This window comes from Homo sapiens, chromosome 1, assembly GCF_000001405.40.
Source record: "Homo sapiens chromosome 1, GRCh38.p14 Primary Assembly".
Taxonomy (NCBI): Eukaryota; Metazoa; Chordata; class Mammalia; order Primates; family Hominidae; genus Homo; species Homo sapiens.
In genome coordinates, this window is record NC_000001.11 from 212,289,852 (window position 1) to 212,312,159 (window position 22,308).

Sequence of the window (22,308 nt, forward strand, 5' to 3'; positions counted from 1 at the left end):
TATGATTTATGTGATCTGAAGTGCAGCTGCAACATCTTTCAGCACGAGTGTAGAAATGGAAATAGGATTAAGTCAGACTCTTTAAAACATTAAAAGCTGTGATAAGATTTTTTTACCAAGCGAAGAAATCAACCTAACCAGTAGAATTATATAGATGTGCAGTCATCTTAGGAGACAGCCGGGAAATAAATAGCAAGATAGGCTGAAACTGGCTTTGAGATTGAAGTCCCCTTCAGAAGAGGTAAAACTTTCCCAAGTAGCACTCAAGATTCTTTGTTGGTCCATTCTTAGCAACTGTGTCCCACTAGAGGTATTGAGGCCAGTAATAGTGGTGTTGATTGCAGTGCTTCCTTACCTTTAGGGGGAAAAATGTGTGTGTTTTCTAAAGTAGGTGATCTAAGGTAATTGTGGAACAAGAACACTGACATTATCTTAAGTTCTATAGCTAAACCTTTTTGTGGAGAGAAAACCGTACTACTCACTCAACTTTTAAGGTTTATAGATCTTCTCAAAGTTACTATCATTCCATCTAAACACAGTTGGGATGGCACTAGAGGAGAGTTCAAATTCATCTGAAGATGTTAAGAAAATTGTTTACAAAAGGAAATAACATTTTAGTCATTTTAGGACTATTTTCTGAGATATCTCTTCTGGAAGATTTATTTTTAAAAAATTTAAAACATTTTTAGGATATTCTTAAGAGAAATTGCTAAATAAAGTGTTCACTGCTAGTCCTCACATAAAGGAAAAACTTTTCTATTTAAACCCATTTTAACATCTTTAGAATTCCTGTTTAGGATCATCTCTTCCTCCTCTCCATTTTATTACCTTATCTGATTGTTAATTGTGGATTATTTTATGAAGTGTCTAACTGAATAAAGTGCTAATCCAATAAAATGTATTTGGTAAAATAATGCAACCATTGTAGTATGTTACTGTCATGTAAACAGTAGATTTAAATTGTCTTCCTGCATCAGTGATGACTCATTCCTTTCAACTTCAGTTTAGCCATTTTCACCTGCAAGAATAACATTTTTCTCTTGATAAAATAACAAAGATGAATTAGTCTTTAAGGAGTTATTGCTGCCTTGGATTTCAAAGACAGGTTTACTAACAGAAATAACACATTTAGATTTTTGTGTTTCATTTTTAAAAGTTAGATTTTTGTAAAAAGCTGGGGATAAAGACTAGTTTGTTTTTATGTGTTTAGCACTGTGGTTCCCAATCCTGGCTATACTTGGAGAGGTCATTTATTTTATTTTATTTTATTTTTTTTCAGACTGAGTCTCGCTGTGTCCCCAGGCTAGAGTGCAGTGGCACGATCTCTCGGCTCACTGCCACCTCTGCCTCCCAGGTTCAAGCGATTCTCTTGCATGCACCACCATGCCAAGCTAATTTTTGTATTTTTAGGAGAGATAGGGGTTTTGCCATGGCTGGTCAGGCTGGTTTTGAACTCCTGACCCCAGGTGTTCTGCCTGCCTTGGCCTCCCAAAGTTATGGGATTACAGGCGTGAGCCACTGCACCCGGCCTATACCTGGAGAGTTTAAAACAAAACAAAACAAAACAAAAAATCAATACCTGGGCACATCCCTAAGAGATTGTAAATTAATTGGCCTAAGGTAAAATCCACTTACAGTATTTTTAAAAGCTCCCAGGGTGATTCTAACGCGCAGCCAGGATTGAGAATCACCGGGTTAGCATTGTCTGTCTATTGATTTAATTCATTAATTGAGACTTCGTCCTTTTCTCTCTGATACTCATGGTTCATTACCCAGCCTATTAACATTTCCTGCCCTGGCTTCACCTCCTGCTATTTACATTTCACTCTCTTAACTTTGCTGCCCCCTATAGCTTATTAGCTGCTTTCCTGAAGGGGAGATACTGCCATTAGATTCTGGAGTTTAGGTATGATGGGATGATTCTACTGGTTTATTGTCATTACCATAATTAAAGCCCAACTATTATTTGATGTAGGGTGGTCAGTTTTCTTTTCTCTGTGATTTTTGGAGCTGGCAGGTAAAATCGAGAACATGTGATAGAGGTTTGCCTAATTTTAATCCCATCATTCAGGATAATAAGTAATGATTTCAACCACTTTGGGATGTAAAACTAGTTTCCTCTGTATGCTCACAACACTGTTCTGTTTCTTGAAGATCTAGGCCTGATACTACCATTGTATATGTTAAATACAAGATATTGAACAAAGGAACTATTCTTGAACTTTACTGCGTTTTTGGTCATGCCTTATTTTTATTTCACATTAAGAAATGTTTTTCTCCAGAGTGTTTTCGTGTCTATCATCTAACTTAATCTTGACCACAACTTTTTATCGAAGGCAGGGCAGTGAGAACTCAGGGCTGCTTATATTCCATATTCCTATTTTGTCTTTGTCTTTTCTGGTAACTGGTTTGAATAATACTTCTGTTAGTTGATTTGTTGTTTGGGTGGCTTTTCAGTTGTTATGTTGTGATGCTCTCTCTCCAGAATGAGATGGTGAATTTTTCTGTGAAAGCAGAGTCATTATCTGTTTTTTCAAATCCTGTTATGGTACCAAATACAGTATTTTGTGCATAATGTGGTCATAGAGACAGAGTCAGTGTTTTGATGAAGAAATTATATGTTGGTTGTCTTATAGTCACTCCTTCCCCTTTAGATTGTGCTGCTTTTAGTGATGTTTGGTGCTATCTACCAGATGTTGATTCTTTTCTGTTTTGTTTTTTGGTTTTCCATATTTTTTTGAGACAGGGTCTTGCTCTATCACCCAGGCTGGAGTGTAGTGGCACAATTGTAACTTACTGCAGCCTCAAACTTCTGGGCTCAGGCAATTGTCCCAAGTAGCTAGGACTACAGGTGTGTGCTGCCACACCCAGCTAAGTTTTTTATTTTTATTCTTGTACAGACAAGTTCTCGCTATGTTGTCCTGGCTGGTCTTGAACTCCTGGCCTCATGTGATCCTCCGTCTTTGGCTTCCCAAAAGCTGGGATTACAGATGTGAATCACTGCCTCACCCAGTTTTTTGGTTTTAATATATTTATGCCTAAAACTGGTTCAGGATTATTTAAAACAGGGGAATCCAAGGGAGAGAATACAATCATGGGTTCTTAGTTTCTGTTTTTGGTTGTGCCAGTAAAGCCCCTTCCTCGTCCTTCTTTTCTGCTTATCACTAGAGACAGAAACTAAAAACCATGGCTTCAGGATGCTAAAAGCCTAAAACAAAACGAAACAGAACAACAACAACAAAATAAGGTGGGTTGGACAAGCTTGATTTAAAGTAAATGAATTCTGGGTCCTTAATATCTTGGTAGTAAATAGTAAATGTAGGTTTAAAACAAAAGATTATTTGTATTTTGCCAATGACCAGTATGAGTGACATGTAACATTATTGATTGATTTGTTGCTATGAAAGTTATTGTATAAGATTTGTGAGGAAAAGTAATACTGGGTTGACTCCTAGACATGGACATGTGTGTATAAAATAACTGAAACAATTTGTTTGCAGTAATTTCTAAGTTTAAGATGCAATCTTTCTTTATAAGGATGTCCTTGAAGGAGGTAAAAGGAACAGATTTGAAATATATAATACTTTTAGTGTATTATTATGTAACAAGGAATCTAAATGCTTTGCTGAAAGAGTTTTGTATGACAGACTGGGATTATGCAAAATAAACTCTACTTCTCTGAGCAGGATGTTGACTAATAAGCAGTTTCAAGCCTAGTTTTTATATCTGTCTTTTTGAACTGTTACCTGAAGGATTTTATTTATGTGGGACTTTTAAGTAAGTAATGAAGAATTTTAGAAATCCTGTAATTTTGATTGGGTTTGCTGAAGAAACATACTGGAATTTTTTTTTTTTTGGTGGGGGTAGTCTAACTTGGATACTGAAGACAAGGGATTTCTTGGAAACACACTCCTCCTACTGGAATGGTGATGCTAATTGCCGCTACTATATAACCTTACTGTGATGTTATATCTAGTTGAGCTTTCCAGTGCTGAATGGGATCTCAGAAGTCATTCTGGTTTAGCCTCTGTTGGGAATTGATTTCACTCTTGTTATTCTAATAAATATCTTGCCATTTCATCAGAGAAGTTTTCTTTAAGGTAGGGAGGAAAGTACAGGGTTTTAAAACCCTTATTCTCTCAGGTTTTGCTTAGTTAATGAATAAACCATTTAGATAATAGCTAAAAGAGGTTGAATACCTGAAACAAGAATTTTTAAATGGCTTAGAACTTGCAGTTCAGTAGTATCAAATCTAAAATTGTATATTTTTTTTCAGCAGAACGCAGATTTTAAAAAATTGTATATTTTGTCTAATTGGTTTTGCCTTTGTTTCACATTGTATCAAGGATATTCCATAATTACAGCTATTACCATAAGTCAATGGTTATTTGAACTCATTGTTAATCCCCTGCCTCTAAATTGATAAAAGTGAAAAAGGGAAAAAGGTGAGACAGTTTTTGTTATAACTCCTGAATTTTAATTAGCAAAACTGGGTAGATTTTTAAAACAACTTTTCAGACAGGCTTTTCTGAAGAAAAATATCTATTGAAGTTAAAAGTAAAATAAGACATAACTTCTGTAGGAATGTTTCTAATTTTATTAAAACAAACAAAAACAACAACAAAAACGTGCCCTACCATTCTTCTTTAAATTGGTCAGTGGCAAAATATTTTGTTTGCTGTGAAATTAGACACACACTTTATTTTCAAAAATCTAGTACAGAAATCTTTTCCTTTCTTTGGTTTTCCATAGTGCATAAAATTTTGGTGAACCGCTGCAGAGATTAAAACTTAGTAAAGTGAAAACAATGAATGCTTTTTCTTTTAAATTTAATGTCTTTAGGAGTTTATAGTTGGTGAATACAGACTTGTAAGCAGGCAGTTGCAATTAATGTGTTCAGTGTCATGATAAGAATAAGCTCTAAAATGTTAAGGGAGTATGTGAAGGACTCAATCCCGTTTTAGTAGGGGAGGGGAGTGATCAGGGAAAGTTTCCTGGAGAAAGTGACAGGTAAACTGCCATCTAAAAGGCCAGAAGGTGTTAGGCCAAGATAGATGGGCTAAGAGGTCCACCCAAAAGACAATATATGGAGACCCAAAGGTAATTGAGCATAGCATATTTTGGGAATTACCAGCAGTTTACATAGCTGTGATCTAGAATATAGGTTACATTCTATATCTCTGTGGTATATTCTGTATCACTAGAGAAGTGGAACAGCATTTAGGGTCTAGTGCGTAATCTTGTTGCTATGTTGAAGAATGGATGTAGGCAATTTATTGCATTCATACCTGCCAGTAACATGAAGAACGTATTGGGAAATCAGAGTGAGTAACACTAGTGAGGATACTGACACAGTAATCCAGACAAGAGATAAAGGTGCTTGTCCAAGTGGGGATGGGGTGGTATCATAGGCAAAATCTGGTGAGAGGGAACAATCAACGATGATACATTTCTAACTTGGGCAACTGGATGTATGATAGCAGTTTATTGAAAGGGAAAAAAGACATTAGATTTGGGAGGAGAAGATAATGGTTCTTTGTTGGACAGGTCGAAGTGTCCATGGGAAATTGAAGTGAAGCTGCCTAGTAGGAAGGCGGATTATTTGGATATGGAGCAATGTGCTAGAGATAATTTGAGAGTCTTTGGCTTACATGTGGCATTTGGAGCAATGGAAGTAGAAGCAACTGCCCACTGAAAATGGATAGAATGAGAAGACTCCAAGGAATACCAACATTGAGATAATGGGTAAGGGAAAAAGGTACAACCAAGAGCCAAGAGAGACAGCTGGAGTGGAGGCCAAAGAAGACAGGAGAGAGTGGAGACAAGGCTGTCAGGGGAAGAGAGTCTTTAAAAACTGGGGGATGGGTGGGGAAAGTAGTAACAGTGGATAACTGTGGACAAGTCAAGTAAGAACTGAAAAGTTTCCGTGGGTTAGTCTTTAGGCAACATTGGTGACTTGAGAGGCGTTTGGAGGACTGATAATGTGAAATGAGATTTGTGTAAGGTGGATAATGAGTAGAAATTGTAAAAGCTGAGTGAGTAAGTATGGACAACTCTTTCAGAAAGTTTGGCAGTTAAAAATTACTATAGCTACTGGGTAGAGAATGCATTGTAGCAGAAGAAGATTTTTAGGAGGACAAGTTAGGAGATTAATAAGCCAGGTAAGACTTTATGTGACTTGGGCCTGGGTAGTAGCCCAAGATGGAGAGAAGAAGATGCATTTGAGATATATCTTAGATAGGACCTTGTTAATGAATTGTTTGGGAGGAGATGGAAAGGCAGAGGTGTAGGAGTCAAGGATGACTCTCACGTGCTTTAGCTTGGACACCTGGGTGGATAGGAATGTGTCCCACCACCGAGAAAGGAGTACACTGGAGGGGGAATCAGGTATAGAGGGAAAATCCAGAGTTGTATTTTGGAAATTTTAAATTTGAGATGCCATTTAGAAACCCAGTTATAAATATCAAATAGATCACTGCATATGTGAATCAAAGAGTGCCCATTTGTTAATTTCTATACATTAACTATATTCTTTACTAATGTCTTCTAAACATTAACTGTATTCTTTACATTAACCTTTACTGGCCTGCCAAGACTTTCAGATTTGCTTATAAGAAGACATTGATAGTTTGGGTTGCTGGCCACTTAGTCTCCTGGCCAAATTGGGATTATCTATTCCCTACTCTATAGAACATCTTCTGTGTACACTGCATGATAAGATGTCATTGTTATGTGCATGAAGGAGAGCACAAAATATGCCGGGACAAGTTGCCTGAATAAGGTTAAAGTGCCTGCTTTTTGTCTTTAGACTATAAGTGCTTTGAGACCCAAGACCATATTTTCCTACACAGGATTTAGATAGTCAATGCTGTTTTATATTTATTGAATGAAAGAATGAAGCAAAAGCTATTAAATTGATTGAAAGAAAAACATCATTTATATCATACAATAATTTACAATTTTAGGGTGATTTATAACTGAGTAATGTTTACCTGCAACACTAAACTGGTTAGCATTTTATAGGTGAAGAAACCAAAACCTAGGTAGGTTACATTCTTATGCCGGTCATGTATGACTTGCTCTTCTCAGTTGGTTGCTGATTCCTCTATTAAATGGAAGTCCAGTTTGTTGCCTGGACTGAAGCAAAGTTGAGTACCTTATTTCCTTACAGTGCAACAGAGAAATATTTATAATTGAGAACCTTATCAAGAGAAATACGTTTCTTTTCTTTTTCTTTGCTTCTTCTTTTTTTTTTTTTTTTTTTTTTTTTTTTTTTTTTTTTTTTTTGGAGACGGAGTCTCACTCTATCGCCCAGGCTGGAGTGTAATGGCACAGTCTCTGCTCACTGCAACCTCTGCCCCCTGGGTCCAAGTGATTCTCCTGCCTCAGCCTCCCGAGTAGCTGCCACCATACCTGGCTAATTTTTTTTATTTTTTTTATTTTTAGTAGAGACAGGGTTTCACTGTGTTGGCCAGACTGGTCTTAAACTCCTGACCTCGTGATCCACCCGCTTCGGCCTCCTAAAATGCTGGGATTACAGTCGTGAGCCACCATGCCCAGCCAATACGTTTCTTTTTGATAACTTGAAATGAGATTTGCATAAGGTGAAAAGTGAGTGGAAATTGTAGAAGCTGAATGAGTAAGTCTTTAGACTATAGTCTTTAATCTAACTAAAGACTAAGACTAAGCCTAGAGCCTGTAGTCTTTAGACCTTTAGACTGTAGTATAGTCTTAGGCTATAGGTGCTGGGCAAGTAAGCCAGTATTGAACGTAGATTTTTCTAAGACCTGTTAAAGCAAGGGATCTTTGTTTCTTAAATTCTTCTGATATAAAAATGCTTCATTGATCTTCTTTGAAACACTGTCCTCTCATTTTTAGGTAACCTAAAGTTTTTCTCAAAAAAATATGAGAGCATTTGTTTTATGAATGAGTACTGAGAAACAAGATGAAGTGAATTGTTTTTTTTTTTTTTTCTTTTTTATTTTTATTGATCATTCTTGGGTGTTTCTCGCAGAGGGGGATTTGGCAGGGTCATAGGACAATAGTGGAGGGAAGGTCAGCAGATAAACAAGTGAACAAAGGTCTCTGGTTTTCCTAGGCAGAGGACCCTGCGGCCTTCCGCAGCGTTTGTGTCCCTGGGTACTTAAGATTAGGGAGTGGTGATGACTCTCAACGAGCATGCTGCCCTCAAGCATCTGTTCAACAAAGCACATCTTGCACCGCCCTTAATCCATCTAACCCTGAGTGGACACAGCACATGTCTCAGAGAGCACAGGGTTGGGGATAAGGTCCACAGATCAACAGGATCCCAAGGCAGAAGAATTTTTCTTAGTACAGAACAAAATGAAAAGTCTCCCATGTCTACTTCTATCCACACAGACCCAGCAACCATCCGATTTCTCAATTTTTTCCCCACCCTTCCCGCCTTTCTATTCCACAAAACCGCCATTGTCATCATGGCCCATCCCCAATGAGCCGCTGGGCACACCTCCCAGACGGGGTCGTGGCCGGGCAGAGGGGCTCCTCGCTTCCCAGTAGGGGCGGCCCGGCAGAAGTGCCCCTCACCTCCCAGATGGGGCGGCTGGCCGGGCGGGGGGCTGACCCCCCCACCGCCCTCCCGGACGGGGCGGCTGGCCAGGCAGAGGGGCTCCTCACTTCCCAGTAGGGGCGGCCGGGCAGAGGCGCCCCTCACCTCCTGGATAGGGCGGCTGGCCGGGCGGGGGGCTGTTCCCCCCACCTCCCTCCCGGACGGGGCGGCTGGCCGGGCAGAGGGGTCCTCACTTCCCAGTAGGGGCGGCCGGGCAGAGGCGCCCCTCACCTCCCGGACGGGGCGGCTGGCCAGGCAGGGGGCTGATCCCCCCACCTCCCTCCCGGACGGGGCGGCTGGCCGGGCGGGGTGCTGACCCCCCCCCACCTCCCTCCCGGACGGGGCGGCTGGCCGGGCAGAGGGGTCCTCACTTCCCAGTAGGGGCGGCCGGGCAGAGGCGCCCCTCACCTCCCGGACGGGGCGGCTGGCCAGGCGGGGGGCTGACCCCCCACCTCCCTCCCGGACTGGGCGGCTGGCCGGGCGGGGGGTTGACCCCCCCACCTCCCTCCTGGACGGGGCGACTGGCCGGGCAGAGGGGCTCCTCACTTCCCAGTAGGGGCGGCCGGGCAGAGGAGCCCCTCACCTCCCGGCCGGGGCGGCTGGCCGACACCCCCCCCCCCCGCCTCCCTCCCGGACGGGGCGGCTGGCCGGGCAGAGGGGCTCCTCACTTCCCAGTAGGGGCGGCCGGGCAGAGGAGCCCCTCACCTCCCGGACGGGGCGGCTGGCCGGGCTGGGGGCTGACCCCCCCCACCTCCCTCCCGGACGGGGTGGCTGCCGGGCGGAGACGCTCCTCACTTCCCAGACGGGGTGGTTGCCAGACGGAGGGGCTCCTCACTAAGATGAAGTGAATTGTTAATCATTCAGCACATTTGTGTCACAGTTAGATTTTGGAGTCACCCCTCAAAGTTATAATGATCTGTAATTAGCTTGAAGAAATTGTAGATTATCAAGAACTGATTAGAATCTACTTGTTTTTGCTTCTTTTGGAAATGTTGGGTATATTCTGGTCCCCTTTTACACAAAGTTTTTGAAAACTTTTTAAAATACTCTTCCACATTAGCATAGTACTATCTTTCTGATCATTTTTTCTCAATTTGATAGAGGAAAAAAGTTAGGTCAGGATAACAGAGACTGGGATATAAAAGTCAATTGGGCTAATCTACCACTTGACTGATTTTATTCTTCCACTAAAACTTCCAGACAAGCTGAAATGAGAGTTAGATGTCATCTCCTCAAATAGTTTTCCACATACTTTTGTGCTTCCAGTGAATGAACCAACCTAATTTTGAATCCAGAGTGAACATAAAGTAGCAAATATGACAATGAAGTGCTTTTAAGATGCATTTATTTCCCCAGTCATATTGCCTTCATAAGACTTTTTTTTTTTTTTTTGAGACAGGGTCTCGCTCTGTCCCCCAGGCTGGAGTACAGTGGTATGATCTCTGCTCACTGCAACCTCCACATCATGGGTTCAAGCAGTTCTTCTGCCTCAGCCTCCCGAGTAGCTGGGATTATAGGCTCCCGCCACCACAGCCAGCTAATTTTTGTATTTTTAGTAGATAACGGGGTTTTGCCATGTTGGCCATGCTGGTCTTGAACCCTTGACCTCAAGTGATCTGCCTGCCTCTGCCTCCTAAAGTGCAGGGATTAACAGGTGTGAGCCACCGCACCTGGCCCATAAAAAATTTTGATTATTCATATAGGAAAGGTAAAAATAACTCAGCCTTCACCTAGCTGCCGTATATCTAGTCACTGGTTTTGGTACTTCATCTGTTTTGATAATCTGTTTTTAATTTGGATCACCTGGATACTCTCTATATATTTTTAAGAACTAATTTTTTTAAGATCTGGAGAAGTAACTTCTATAGAACAGGAATGACTATTTTAGGTTATAATACAATACTTGCTGTGAGTCATCAGCGAATCTCAGTTTTCATGGTTTTCTAAAATAAACTCATTTAAAGAATATGTAATGGGAAGTGTCATATTTTAAACTACCCCATTTTATTATTTATTTATTATTTTTGTAAAAACTTACAGACTCACTGTTAAAACAACTCAAAGGAGAATCTTAACAATGGTAGAAAGTAAAAATTCCCACCCAGAGGAAATCTCTTTTAAATTTTTGAGCATCTTCCCATATTTTCCCATGAGTGGGATCATACTGTGTATGTTGTTCAATAGCCTATTATTTTCTGTTAATAGAATATTACAAATAGCAAATTTCTGAATGAAAAAATATTAGAATCAATTTAGAATTGTTTGTGAATAAAGTTTTTATTTCTGGAAATACTGAATCAACTCATTTGAAACCTTGGTTATAAGTTTCTTACGTTTAATGGAAAGGAAATAATTTCTAAGAGTACTAATATTTAATTTCATGGAAATTATATGTGAATCTCTTGGAAAATCCAATTTAAAGAATGTGCCGTTTTAAAAAATATATATAATATTTTATATAATTTCCAGGGTTCTTGGATTTCCCCACCACCACCATCCCAAAGCCCGTTTATGCTGATGGTAGAAGGAAGTGGGATGTCTGTAGAGCTTAGGTCCTGCTCTAGAGACTTGAACACCTTGTTTTTGTTTGTTTGAGACAGGGTCTTGCTCTGTCACCCAGGCTAGAGTGCAGTGGTGCAATCTCCTCACTGCAACTTCTGCCTCCTGGTTCAAGCAATTCTCCTACCTCAGTCTTCTGAGTAGCTGGGATTACAGGTACGAGCCACCACGCCTGGCTAATTTTTGTATTTTTAGTAGAGACGGGGTTTCGCCATGTGGGCCAGCTTGGTCTCGAACTCCTGGCCTCAAGTGATCTGCCCACCTTGGCCCCCCCAAAGTGCTGGGATTACAGGTGTGATCCACCATGCCCAGCCCAGTTAATTTTTTGAAATAAAAAATAGCAGTAGTTGCGGATATACTTACATTTGAATGGTAATTGATTAAAACATGGATGTATTTAAGTTCTTGAAAGTTTTAGTTAGTATTGTAGGGGTTTTCTTAAAATAATACATACATTTATATATTAGAACATTATCAAACTGGCAGTGCGTATGTGTTCTAATTTCCTGAAATACGATGTCTACAATTTTTTCCCACCATTTTCAATTTTAATGAAATCACAGAACCTTAATAAGTCATATTTAGTCACAGTGCTGTGAATCATTTGTTAATAAACATTTCCATTGTTACTTTATAATAGCCTGCTCTCTAAAGTTTCAAATAAAAGCTGATTTTAGATTTTTAGTTATTAATGTTCTAGGGGTATTGCCAAAAAAAGCTACATGTCCTATATTCTGTGCCAGTTTCTTAAATTAGAATCTTGGATTGCATCCTCAGCGTGTCACTGTAGTGGTATTGCTGGGTTGCTATGATACAGTGCTTGTTCTATAATTTGTAGCATGAATCCTATATGAGATCTTACTTTAGATTTCAAGTATGTTAGCAGCAGTAATTAGGGATGTTTTCCTCTAAGGAAAATTATAGTTATAAAATTATTATTTGTTAGAAATGATTCCTGCTACTTCAAATTATTTATCCTTAAATGTAGAGGATTAACAATGAACAACTTGAAATAACTTGGTTATCACCTCAGAAGTTTAGTTTATCACTGATTTAATGAAGAAGGGCAAGAAGAGGAAGGCTTTATGATAATGAGTATGTATATTAAGATTTCAGTGTTCTACTTGGTATTTGAAATCTTGAGGAGAGAAATGAATAGAGACTAGATTTTCTGGGAAGATGCATTTGAAACAGTACAAGCAAAACCACATTACAGGGGAAAACTACAAATTATCTTACTGTATTGTATTAAAAATTCGGTGAACTGTTCTTAAAACCAACCCTCTGTGGCCATCTTAATAAGCTATTGTTACTACCTCTTTTTCATTTTATGTGTTGGTTTTAGTATTTCATTTACATGTTCCTTGAAAATTTTTATTAATCTAATTTAGTATTATAAGTTATAGGAAACATAAAGACAAAACTAGTGGATTCTGTGTATGTGTTGTATACACATTGGTGGTGGAATGAAGTTTATATGATTATTGGTCAGTGGCATTGCTGCAATTGATCTTTAAACTTTTAGTGTCTCTCAGCAATGTTTTGGGTATTTGATTTGAAAGTATTTTAGAGACCAGAGCTTAAAACAGCTCTATTGAGATATAATTCATACACCATGTAATTCCCCATTTAAAGTATACAATTCCATGGCTTTTAGTATATTCACAGACATGTGCAACTACCACAGTCAATTTTAGAATAGTTTTATCATCTCAAAAAGATATCCCATGCCCTTTAACTGTCACCCCCTATTCCTTTAGGGATTCCTTGAGTAACCATTAATTTACTTTCCGTCTCTAGATTTCCCTATTCTGGACATTTCATGTGAATGGAATATTATAATATGTCGTCTTTTGTAATAGGCTTCTTTCATTCACTTTGCATAATGTTTTCAAGGATTTATTCATGTTGTAGCATGTGTTAGTACTTCATTCCTTTTTATGGCTGAATAATATTCTATTGTATGGTTATACCATGTTTTATTTATCCATTCCTCACTCGATGGACATTTCAGTTCTTTCTACTGTTTGGTTATGAATAATGCTGCTATGAACATTTGTATACAAGTTTTTGTGTGGACATATGTTTTCATTTCTCTTGGGTATATGTAGGAGTGGAACTGCTCGGTCATAAGGTAATTCTGGGCTTAGTCACTTGATAAATTGCCACAGTTTTTTCCATAGTGGCTGCACTATTTTACACTCCCACTTGTGGTATGTGAGGATTTTCATCGCTCCACATCCTTACCAGTACTTCTTATTTTGACTTTCTGATTATAGCCATCCTAATGGATGTGAACTAGTATCTCTTCGTGGTTATGATTTGCATTTCCCTAATTACTAATGATGTCAAGTGTCTTTGAACATGCTTATTGGCCATTTGTATATGTTCCTTGGAGAAATGACTCTTTAGATCCTTTGCCCACTTTTGAATTGTTATTTGTCTTTTTATCGAGTTGTAAGAATTCTTTATATGTCCTTGATATAAGCCCCTTGTGTCTTTTCACTTTCTTGGTGGTATCCTTTGAAGCGCAAATGTTTTAAATTTTGAGTAAGTCTAAATTCTCTTTTTTCTTGTTACTTGTGCTTTTGGAGTCATTTCTAAGGATCCTTTCCCAGATATGAGGCTATGAAGATTTACTCTGTGTTTTCTTCTAAGAATTTTGTAATTTTAACCTTTACATTTAGGTCTTTGGCCATTTTTAGTTAATTTTTATATAGGGTATGACTTAAGGATTCAAATTCATTATTTTGTGTGTAGTTATCACATTTATCTCCACACCACTTGTTGAAAATACTTCTTTCCCCGTTAGATGGTCTTGGCCCTTTTGTTGAAAATTAGCACATGGTTTTATTTCTGGATTCTCAATTCTATCCCATTGATCTGTATGTCTGTTCTTGTGTCAGTACCACACTGTCTTGATTACTTGTTTTATATAGTAAGTTTTGAAATGGGATAGTGTGAATCTTCCTACTTTGTTTTTCTTTTTCAGGATTGTTTCGGCTGTTATTGGGTTATTTATAATTGCAAAGTTAAGTTTTTGATTTAAGATCTTTTGTTCTTTCTTCTCTAGACATTTATAGCTATATCTTTCTCTCTAAACACCCTTAAATTTTGGTATGTTATGTCTTCATTTTCATTTGTCTCAACGTATTTTTTATTTTCTTTTAGGTTTCTTCTTTGACACATTAGTTGTTTAAGAATCACTTAATTTCCAAAGATTTTTGAATTTCCCAAAAATGTTTTAACTTCTCTTTTTTAAGAGATGGGGTCAGCCAGGTGCGGTGGCTCTCCTATAATGCCAGCACTTTGGGAGGCCGAGGTGGGTGGATCACCTGAGGTTGGGAGTTCAAGACTAGCCTGACCAACGTGGAGAAACCCCGTCTCTTCTTAAAATACAAAATTAGCCGGGGTGGTGGCGCATGCCTGTAATCCCAGCTACTTGGGAGGCTGAGGCAGGAGAATCGCTTGAACCTGGGAGGAGGAGGTTGTGGTGAGCCGAGATCACGCCATTACACTCCAGCCTGGGCAACAAGAGCGAAACTCCATTTCAAAAACAAACAAAAAAAGAGATGGGGTCTCGCTATGTTGCCCAGGCTTGAGTGCAGTGGCCGTTCACAGATGCTATAATAGTATGCTGTGGCCTCTTAACTCCTGGCCTCAAAGGGATCCTTGTTGCCTAAGCCTCTCAAGTAACTGAGCTTACAGGTACATGCTACCAAGGCCGGCCCCAGTTTTTTTTTTTTTTTTTTGAGAACAGAGTCTCACTCTGTTGCCCAGGCTGGAGTGCAGTGGCATGATCTCGGCTCACTGCAACCCCCACCTCACAGGTTCAAGCGATTCTCCTGCCCCAGCCTCCTGAGTAGCTGGGACTACAGGCACACACCACCATGCCTGGCTAATTTTTGTATTGTTAGTAGAGATGGGGTTTCACCATGTTGGCCAGGATGGTCTTGATCTCCTGACCTCATTAGCCACCCACCCCTGCGTCCCTGAGTGCTGGGATTACAGGTGGGAGCTGCCACACCCGGCCCCCAATTTTTTTTTTTTTTTTTTTTTGAGACGGAGTCTCGCTCTCTGTCAGGCTGGAGTGCAGTGGCTCCATCTCAGCTCACTGCAAGCTCCGCCTCCCGGGTTCACGCCATTCTCCTGCCTCAGCCTCCCAAGAAGCTGGGACTATAGGCGCCCGCTACCACGCCTGGCTAATGTTTTGTATTTTTAGTAGAGATGGGGTTTCACCGTGTTAGCCAGGATGGTCTCTATCTCCTGACCTTGTGATCCTCCCAAAGTGCTGGGATTACAGGTGTGAGCCACCGCGCCCGGCTCCAGCCCCCAATTTTTTAATGTTACTGATTTCTAACTTCATTCCTTTGTGGTCAGAGAACATAGTTTGTATTTCTGTTCTTTTAAAATTTTTGAGGTTTGTTTTATTATCTGGTATGTGGTCTGGTCTTTCCTGGTGGATGTACCATGTGTGCTTGAGAATATATATTCTCCTGTTGTTGGGTGGAGTGTTCTATAGTGAGTATAAATTCTGTAGTGTTCCATAGACACCTCTTAGGTGTGGTTGGTTTATGTGTGTTCAAAGTCTTCTTCTTGTTGATCTTCCACCTAATTGTTCTATCCATTATTGAAAGTGGGGTGTTGAAGGCTTCAACTATCATTGCTTTTGAATTTTCTATTTCTCTCTTTGTTTCTGTCAGTTTTTCTTCATATATTTTGGTACTGTGTTAATAGGTGCAAATATGTTTATAATTGTTACCCTCTTCCTGAAAGACTGACCCTTCTATCATTACAAAATGACTCTCTTTAGATATGAGATAAAGAGTATCTTTATATAATGATATTTATATCTAAATAAGATATAAAGATGAAAAATAATATATATCCAAACAGCCACAAGAAAACTGGAGTGGCTATACTAATGTTAGGAATAACACTCAAAATCCTAAGGAAATTGAACACTTGAACAAAGGATTCTTAGCAAAGCAATTTTACTTCTGCACAGAGGGTGCCTCCCTGGCCAGTTGTCCTGAGAGCACACCTGAACAAAGGGGCACGAGAGCCTTTATTCCTGATGCAAGTCCTGCCCCTGTACCCTTTCCCCATTGGCCGGGGTCGGGTCGTACAATCTAAACTAATCCTGGTTGGCTAAACATTGTATTTTTTTTAGATAGGGTGGGCACGTAAAGGAAAGTGGAGAGAATAGGGGAAGGGGTGTCTGTAATGAGCCATAAAGTTAGTCCTCTTTCCAAATAAGGAAAGGAATGTGAGCTGGTACTGATAACACTTGGTAGTGTGGCGTGCCTGGGCATTTAACAAAGGCAAGAAGGGAAAAGGGGAAAAAAGGAGAAGAATGGAGGGGGGGTAACTACGAATTAAAAAATAAAAGATTGATCAGATTATTTGAAGAGAAACCTCATCATATCCCACACTAATATCAAACAAAACAGACTTTAAAAATATATACAGTTTGATATATATATCTATTTAAGATATGAGACAAAAGTTTTCTGTATATGTCAAACATTTACCTATTTTTTTAAAGTCTGTTTTATCTAATACTGGTATAGCCACTCCAGCTTTCTTATGGTTGTTTACATGATATATTATTTTTCATCTTTTTATTTTCAATCTACTTGTATTTTTAAATTTAAATTGTATCTTCTGGAGACTTAGATCATTTTTTAAAAATTCAGTTTGACAATCTCTACCTTTTGATGGGCTTGGTTAATCCATTTACATTTATTTATTTATTTATTTATTTATTTATTTATTGAAACAGAATCTTCCTCGGTCACCCAGGATGGAGTGTAGTGGCGCGATCTCCACTCACTGCAACCTCTGCTGCCAGGGTTCAAGCAATTCTCCTGCCTCAGCCTCCCGAGTAGCTGGGCTTACAGGTACCTGCCACCATGCCTGGCTAATTCTTTTTGTAGTTTTTAGTAGAGACAGGGTTTCACCATCTTGGCCAGGCTGGTCTTGAACTCCTGACCTTGTGATCCACCCACCTGTGCCTCCCAAGTGCTGGGATTACAGGCGTGAGTCACCATGCCCCTCCGGTTAATCCATTTACACTTAATGTAGTTGTTCATATAGTTGGATTTATGCCTGCCATTTTACTTTCCGTTTTCTCTGTCCCTCATGTCTTTTTTTGTTCTCTATTGTATTCTTTTTCTGTTTTCTTTAGTATTAAGTGAATATTTTCTAATGCAGCATTTAAACTTGTGTAATGATTATTTTTCACTACATATTTTTGAGAGTTTTTTTTTTTTAGTGGCTGCCCTTGGGTTTATTATATGCATTTTAACTTATTAGAATCAGCTTCAAATTTATACAAGCTTTGTTCTAGTGAGATGTAGAATCATTATTCCTATATGCCTCTGTTTCCTTTCCTCCTTTTTTGTGATATTAGTGTTATATAATATCTGTTAATGTTACAACCCCGAGAATATATTGTTATAATTATTACTTTACCATCAGTAGTTATTTCTTTAATGCAGCACAACTTTCCTCCCACCTCCTCCTTTGTGCTGTTATTAGCAAATACATTACATTTCTATGTATCAACCGTCCAATGGTACATTATATAATATTATTTTGTGTAATGGCTGTTAAAATCAGGTAAGAGAAGAAAGAAAAATAGGCACTTATAATGTACTTTATAGTTACATAATTATCTTTACTGGTGCTCTATGTTTTTAAATACAGATTTCAAGCTATCATTGGTGGTCATATGCTTGAGCCTGAAGGAAATCCTTTAGTGTTTCTATAAGGTAGAACAGCTAGCAAAAAATTCTTCGTTTTTATTTATTTGGGAACGTCTTCATTTTGCCTTCATATTTTAAAGATTTAAATACTTCTCGAGATACGGTCTCGCTCTAGTGCCCAGGCTGGAGTGCAGTGGCGTGATCTTGGCTCACTGCAACCTCTGCCTCCTGAGCTCAAGTTATCTTCTTGCCTCAGCCTCCAAGAAGTTATCTTCTTGCCTCAGAATATCTGCCACCACACCTGGCTAATTTTTGTATTTTTTTGTAGAGACAGGTTCTCAACTGTTGCCCAGGCTGATCTTGAACTCCTGAGTCCACCTGCCTCAGCTCCCAAGCCTTCATTTTTGAAAGATCGTTTTATTGGATATAGGATTTTTGGTGACAAGTTTTTGTTTTTCTTTGAGCACTTTGAATATGTTATTCCACTGTTTTCTGGCCTCAGTTGTTTTTGCTAAGAAGTCAATTGTTATCTTAGCCCTTGAAAGTAACTAGTTGTTTTTCTCTTGGTGCTTTCAAGGTTTTCTCCTTGTCTTTGACTTTCATCATTTTTACTGTGATGTTTATTTGTGGATCTTGTTGAGTTTATCCTTCTTGGAGTTTCTTGTGTTAGGTTTATGTTACTCAATACATTATGTTGGTACACTTTTTTTTTTTTTTTTGAGATGGAGTCTTGCTCTGTTGCCCAGGCTGGAGTATAGTGGCATGATCTTGGCTCACTGCAACCTGTGCCTCTCAGGTTCAAGTGATTCTCCTGCCTCACCCTCTTGAGTAGTTGGGACTACAGGCACCTGCCACCATGCCCGGCTAATTTTTGTATTTTTAGTAGAGACAGAGTTTTGCTATGCTGGCTAGGCTGGTCTCAAACTCCTGACCTCAGGTGATCCTCCCGCCTCGGCCTCCCAAAGTGCTGGGATTACAGGCCTGAGCCACCGCACCTGGCTGTGTGTTGGTACACTTAATGGTGTCCTATAGGTCTCTGAAGTTCTGTTTATTTTTCTTCATTCTTTTTTCTTTCTGTTCTTCAGATTGCATAATTTCTGTTGATGTATTTTCAAGTTCCCCAATTCTTTCTAATGCCAGTTCTCGTCTCCTCATGGGTCCCTTTAGTTTATTTTGCTATTATGTTTTTCAACTCCAGGATTTTCATTTTATTCCTTTTTTCTTTTTGTAAATTCTATCTCTTTATGATATTCTCTGTTTGATGTAACATTGTCATCATACCTTTCTTCTTTTTTTATGGTGAAAAGATATATATATATATTTAGCCAGCTAGACTCAGTTTAGATGATCTCGATTTTGTTGGCAACATCCAAAGCATTGTAATCAGGAGCCAGTCAAACATATGCCTTCTTCTCTCCATCAGGCCGAATCAGGGTGTTGACCTTGGCCACATTGGTGTCATAGAGCTTCTTCACAGCCTGTTTAATCTGGTGCTTGTTGGCTTTAACATCCACAATGAACACAAGTGTATTGTTGTCTTCTATCTTCTTCATGGCAGACTCAGTGGTCAGCGGAAACTTGATGATAGCATAGTGGTCAAGTTTGTTTCTCCTGGGGGCGCTCTTCCGAGGATATTTGGGCTGCCTCCGGAGTCGCAGTGTCTTGGGCCGCCGGAAGGTGGGTGACGTGCGGATCTTCTTTTTTTTGTGGCTGTGGACACCTTTCAACATTGCCTTTTTGGCCTTTAAAGCCTTCGCTTTGTCTTCGGCTTTAGAAGGGGCAGGAGCTTCCTTCTTCGCTTTCGGCGCCATCTTGTGAAAAGCCCTTCTTTACTTCTTTAATCATAGTTTAGTTCTTTGAACATATATAATGACTACTTTAAAGTCATATATTCTGTTAAATCCAACATACGGTCACTCTCACAGGCAGGTTCTACAACCTTCTTTTTTTCTGGCACATGGGTTATATTTTTCCTGTTTCTTTGTGCGTTTTGTTATTAACTGGACATTTAAAATAACAGGTATCCAACCTTTTGGCTTCCCTGGGCCACATTGGAAGAATTGTCTTGGGCCACACATAAAATACACTAACACTAACGATAGCTGACGAGCTAAAAGAAAAAAAAAAGTTCATGCATAATTTTTGTGATACCCACCACCACAGATAAGCAAAAAAGTCCTCACATCCTAAGGGTTGGACTCGGCTGTTTTAAATAATATATTGTAGCAACTCTTGGTACCAACCTTGTTATTGTCACTTGTTTGTTTAGTGACTGGGTGTAGTTTTCCCCCATACTTTGTAAAGCCTCTGATCTTGTTCCTCAGAGAGGTGCAGCTTTGGATATGCCCAGGCACCTTGGGATGACAGTGGTTTTGGCAGGGTTCTCTTTGTCTTTTCCTGACCATACTCCCAGCTGTTAAGTTCCATTGATTTTCAGCTGATTGCTCAATTGTTTTCAATAATGCTTTGGGGCACACATTGTTCTACAGACTAATCCAATCAAATCCAGGCTCCTTTGAAGGAATAGTTCCCAAGGTCAGTATGTGATATTTGTTCTAACATCAGGAGGGCTCCACACTGCTGGGTTTTTTTTTTTGTCTCTCCTGAAAAATAACTAGCCTACAGTTTAGTCTGTATCCTCATTGAATTTACAGATCTCCCCATTATCTTTCACCAAAACCTCCACTGTTTTTAAGAGTACCCTTAGGCTTGAACATTTTTTTTAATGCCCTGTTGTAAAGAAGTCAGTTGTTTTGGGAAAAGATGAAGAGCTAACTGTTTTATGGCCTACTTCTCCCCCATCCCCCACAAAATCTCTGGAGTCGGGGCTCAGAGCTGGGAGTGGGGACAATTGTATGCTTCTTTCTGAAACCCTGCTTTAGAAGCTGAGCAGTTTGGGGAAGTGGGAGCAGCAGCCCGAGGTCTTCTTTTTGGCTTGCCTCTTCCAGTGTGGAATCACAACTTTATAGGCCAGAACAAAGGTGATTGAGGCCCCAGTTATTTTTTTAGCAGTGTTGCACAAAAGGTAGAGCCTCTGCCCCATGCGTGGAGGTTGGGCAGAAGAAAGGAGGCCTGCCTTTCAGTTGCACTTGTCTAGAACTTATCCTCAGCAACAATAAGTTGCTGTGGAAAGGATGAGAAATGCTGATAGGTCCTACTCCTTACCTAAAGATGTCTGGGAGCTAGAAGTAGAGGAAGAGCCCTGTGTTCTCCTCTGCGTCTCTTTGAAGTAGGGTTTCTACATAGCTGAGCCAAGGGGGAAGGAGCTCTCTTGCTTAAAATACAGTCATGTGCTGCATAACGATGTTTTGGTCCATGACGTGGTATATAGGATGGTGGTCCCAAAATATTACAGTGGAGCTGAAAAATTCCTGTCCCCTAGTGATGTAGCTTTAGTTCATAGAACAAGGCATGACTCACATGTTTATGGTGATGCCAGTGTAAAAAAACCAGCTGCACTATCATATAAAAGTATATATAGCTGCCAGGCATGGTGGCTCAAGCCTATCCCAGCACTTCGGGAGGCTGAGGCAGGCGGATCACGAGGTCGGGAGATCGAGACCATCCTGGCTAACACGGTGAAACCCCGTCTCTACTAAAAATACGAAAAATTAGTCGGGTGTGGTGGCAGGCGCCTGTAGTCCCAGCTGCTCCCGGAGGCTGAGGCAGAAGAATGGCATGAACCCGGGAGGCGGAGGCAGTGAGCCATGATCGTGCCACTGCACTCCAGCCTGGGCGACAGAGCAAGACTCCGTCTCAAAAAAAAAAAAAGTATATATAGCATATACAATTATGTACAATACATAATACTTGATAATAAATGTTACTGGCTTATGTATTTATTATACTATTTTTATCATTATTTTAGAGTGTGCTCCTTCTACTTATTACAAAAAAAAAAGTTAGCTGTAAAGCAGCCTCAGGCAGGCCCTTCAGGAGGTATTCTAGAAGATGTGGAGATGAGACAGTGACGTAGATGATCCTGACCCTGGGTAGGCCTAAGCCATCTGTGTTTGTGTCTTAGTTTTTAACAAAAAAGTTTAAAAAGTTAAAAAGTCTGAAAAATAGAAAAAAGCTTATAGACTACTGATAGAAAAAATATTTTTATACAGCTGTACAGTGTGTGTTTTAAGCTATGTTATTGCAAAAGAGTAAAAAAGTTAAAATTTTAAAGTTTATATAAAGTTACAGTAAGCTAAGGTCATTATTGGAGAAAGAAAATGTTTTAAATAAATTTAGGGTAGCCTAAATATACCGTTTATAAAGTCTATAGTAGTGTACAGTAATGTCCTAGGCCTTCACATTCACTCACCACTTACTCATCCAGAGCAACTTCCAGTCTTGTAAGCTCTATTCATGTTAAGTGTCCTAGACAGATGTGCCATTTTTAAATCTTTTATACCATATTTTTTATTGCACCTTTCTATATTTGGATACACTTACAGTTGCCTA

The 22,308-nt window shown here is 39.6% G+C and overlaps 1 protein-coding gene and 1 pseudogene across 2 annotated transcripts in view; one reads left to right on the plus strand and one right to left on the minus strand.

Annotated features, from left to right (window-relative positions):
- Positions 1-22,308, plus strand: part of PPP2R5A (protein phosphatase 2 regulatory subunit B'alpha) — a 76,444-nt gene that overhangs the window by 4,442 nt on the left and 49,694 nt on the right. The window contains exon 1 of one of the 2 annotated variants that reach the window (NM_001199756.2): positions 12,007-12,241. The exons of the other annotated variant lie outside the window; for it this stretch is intronic. Within the exon in view, the coding sequence (NP_001186685.1) occupies positions 12,232-12,241 (10 nt within the window). The 5' untranslated portion in view covers positions 12,007-12,231. Of the gene's footprint in view, positions 1-12,006; positions 12,242-22,308 lie in introns of those variants that run through there. 2 annotated transcript variants of the gene reach the window in all.
- Positions 19,152-19,678, minus strand: RPL23AP18 (ribosomal protein L23a pseudogene 18; annotated as a pseudogene).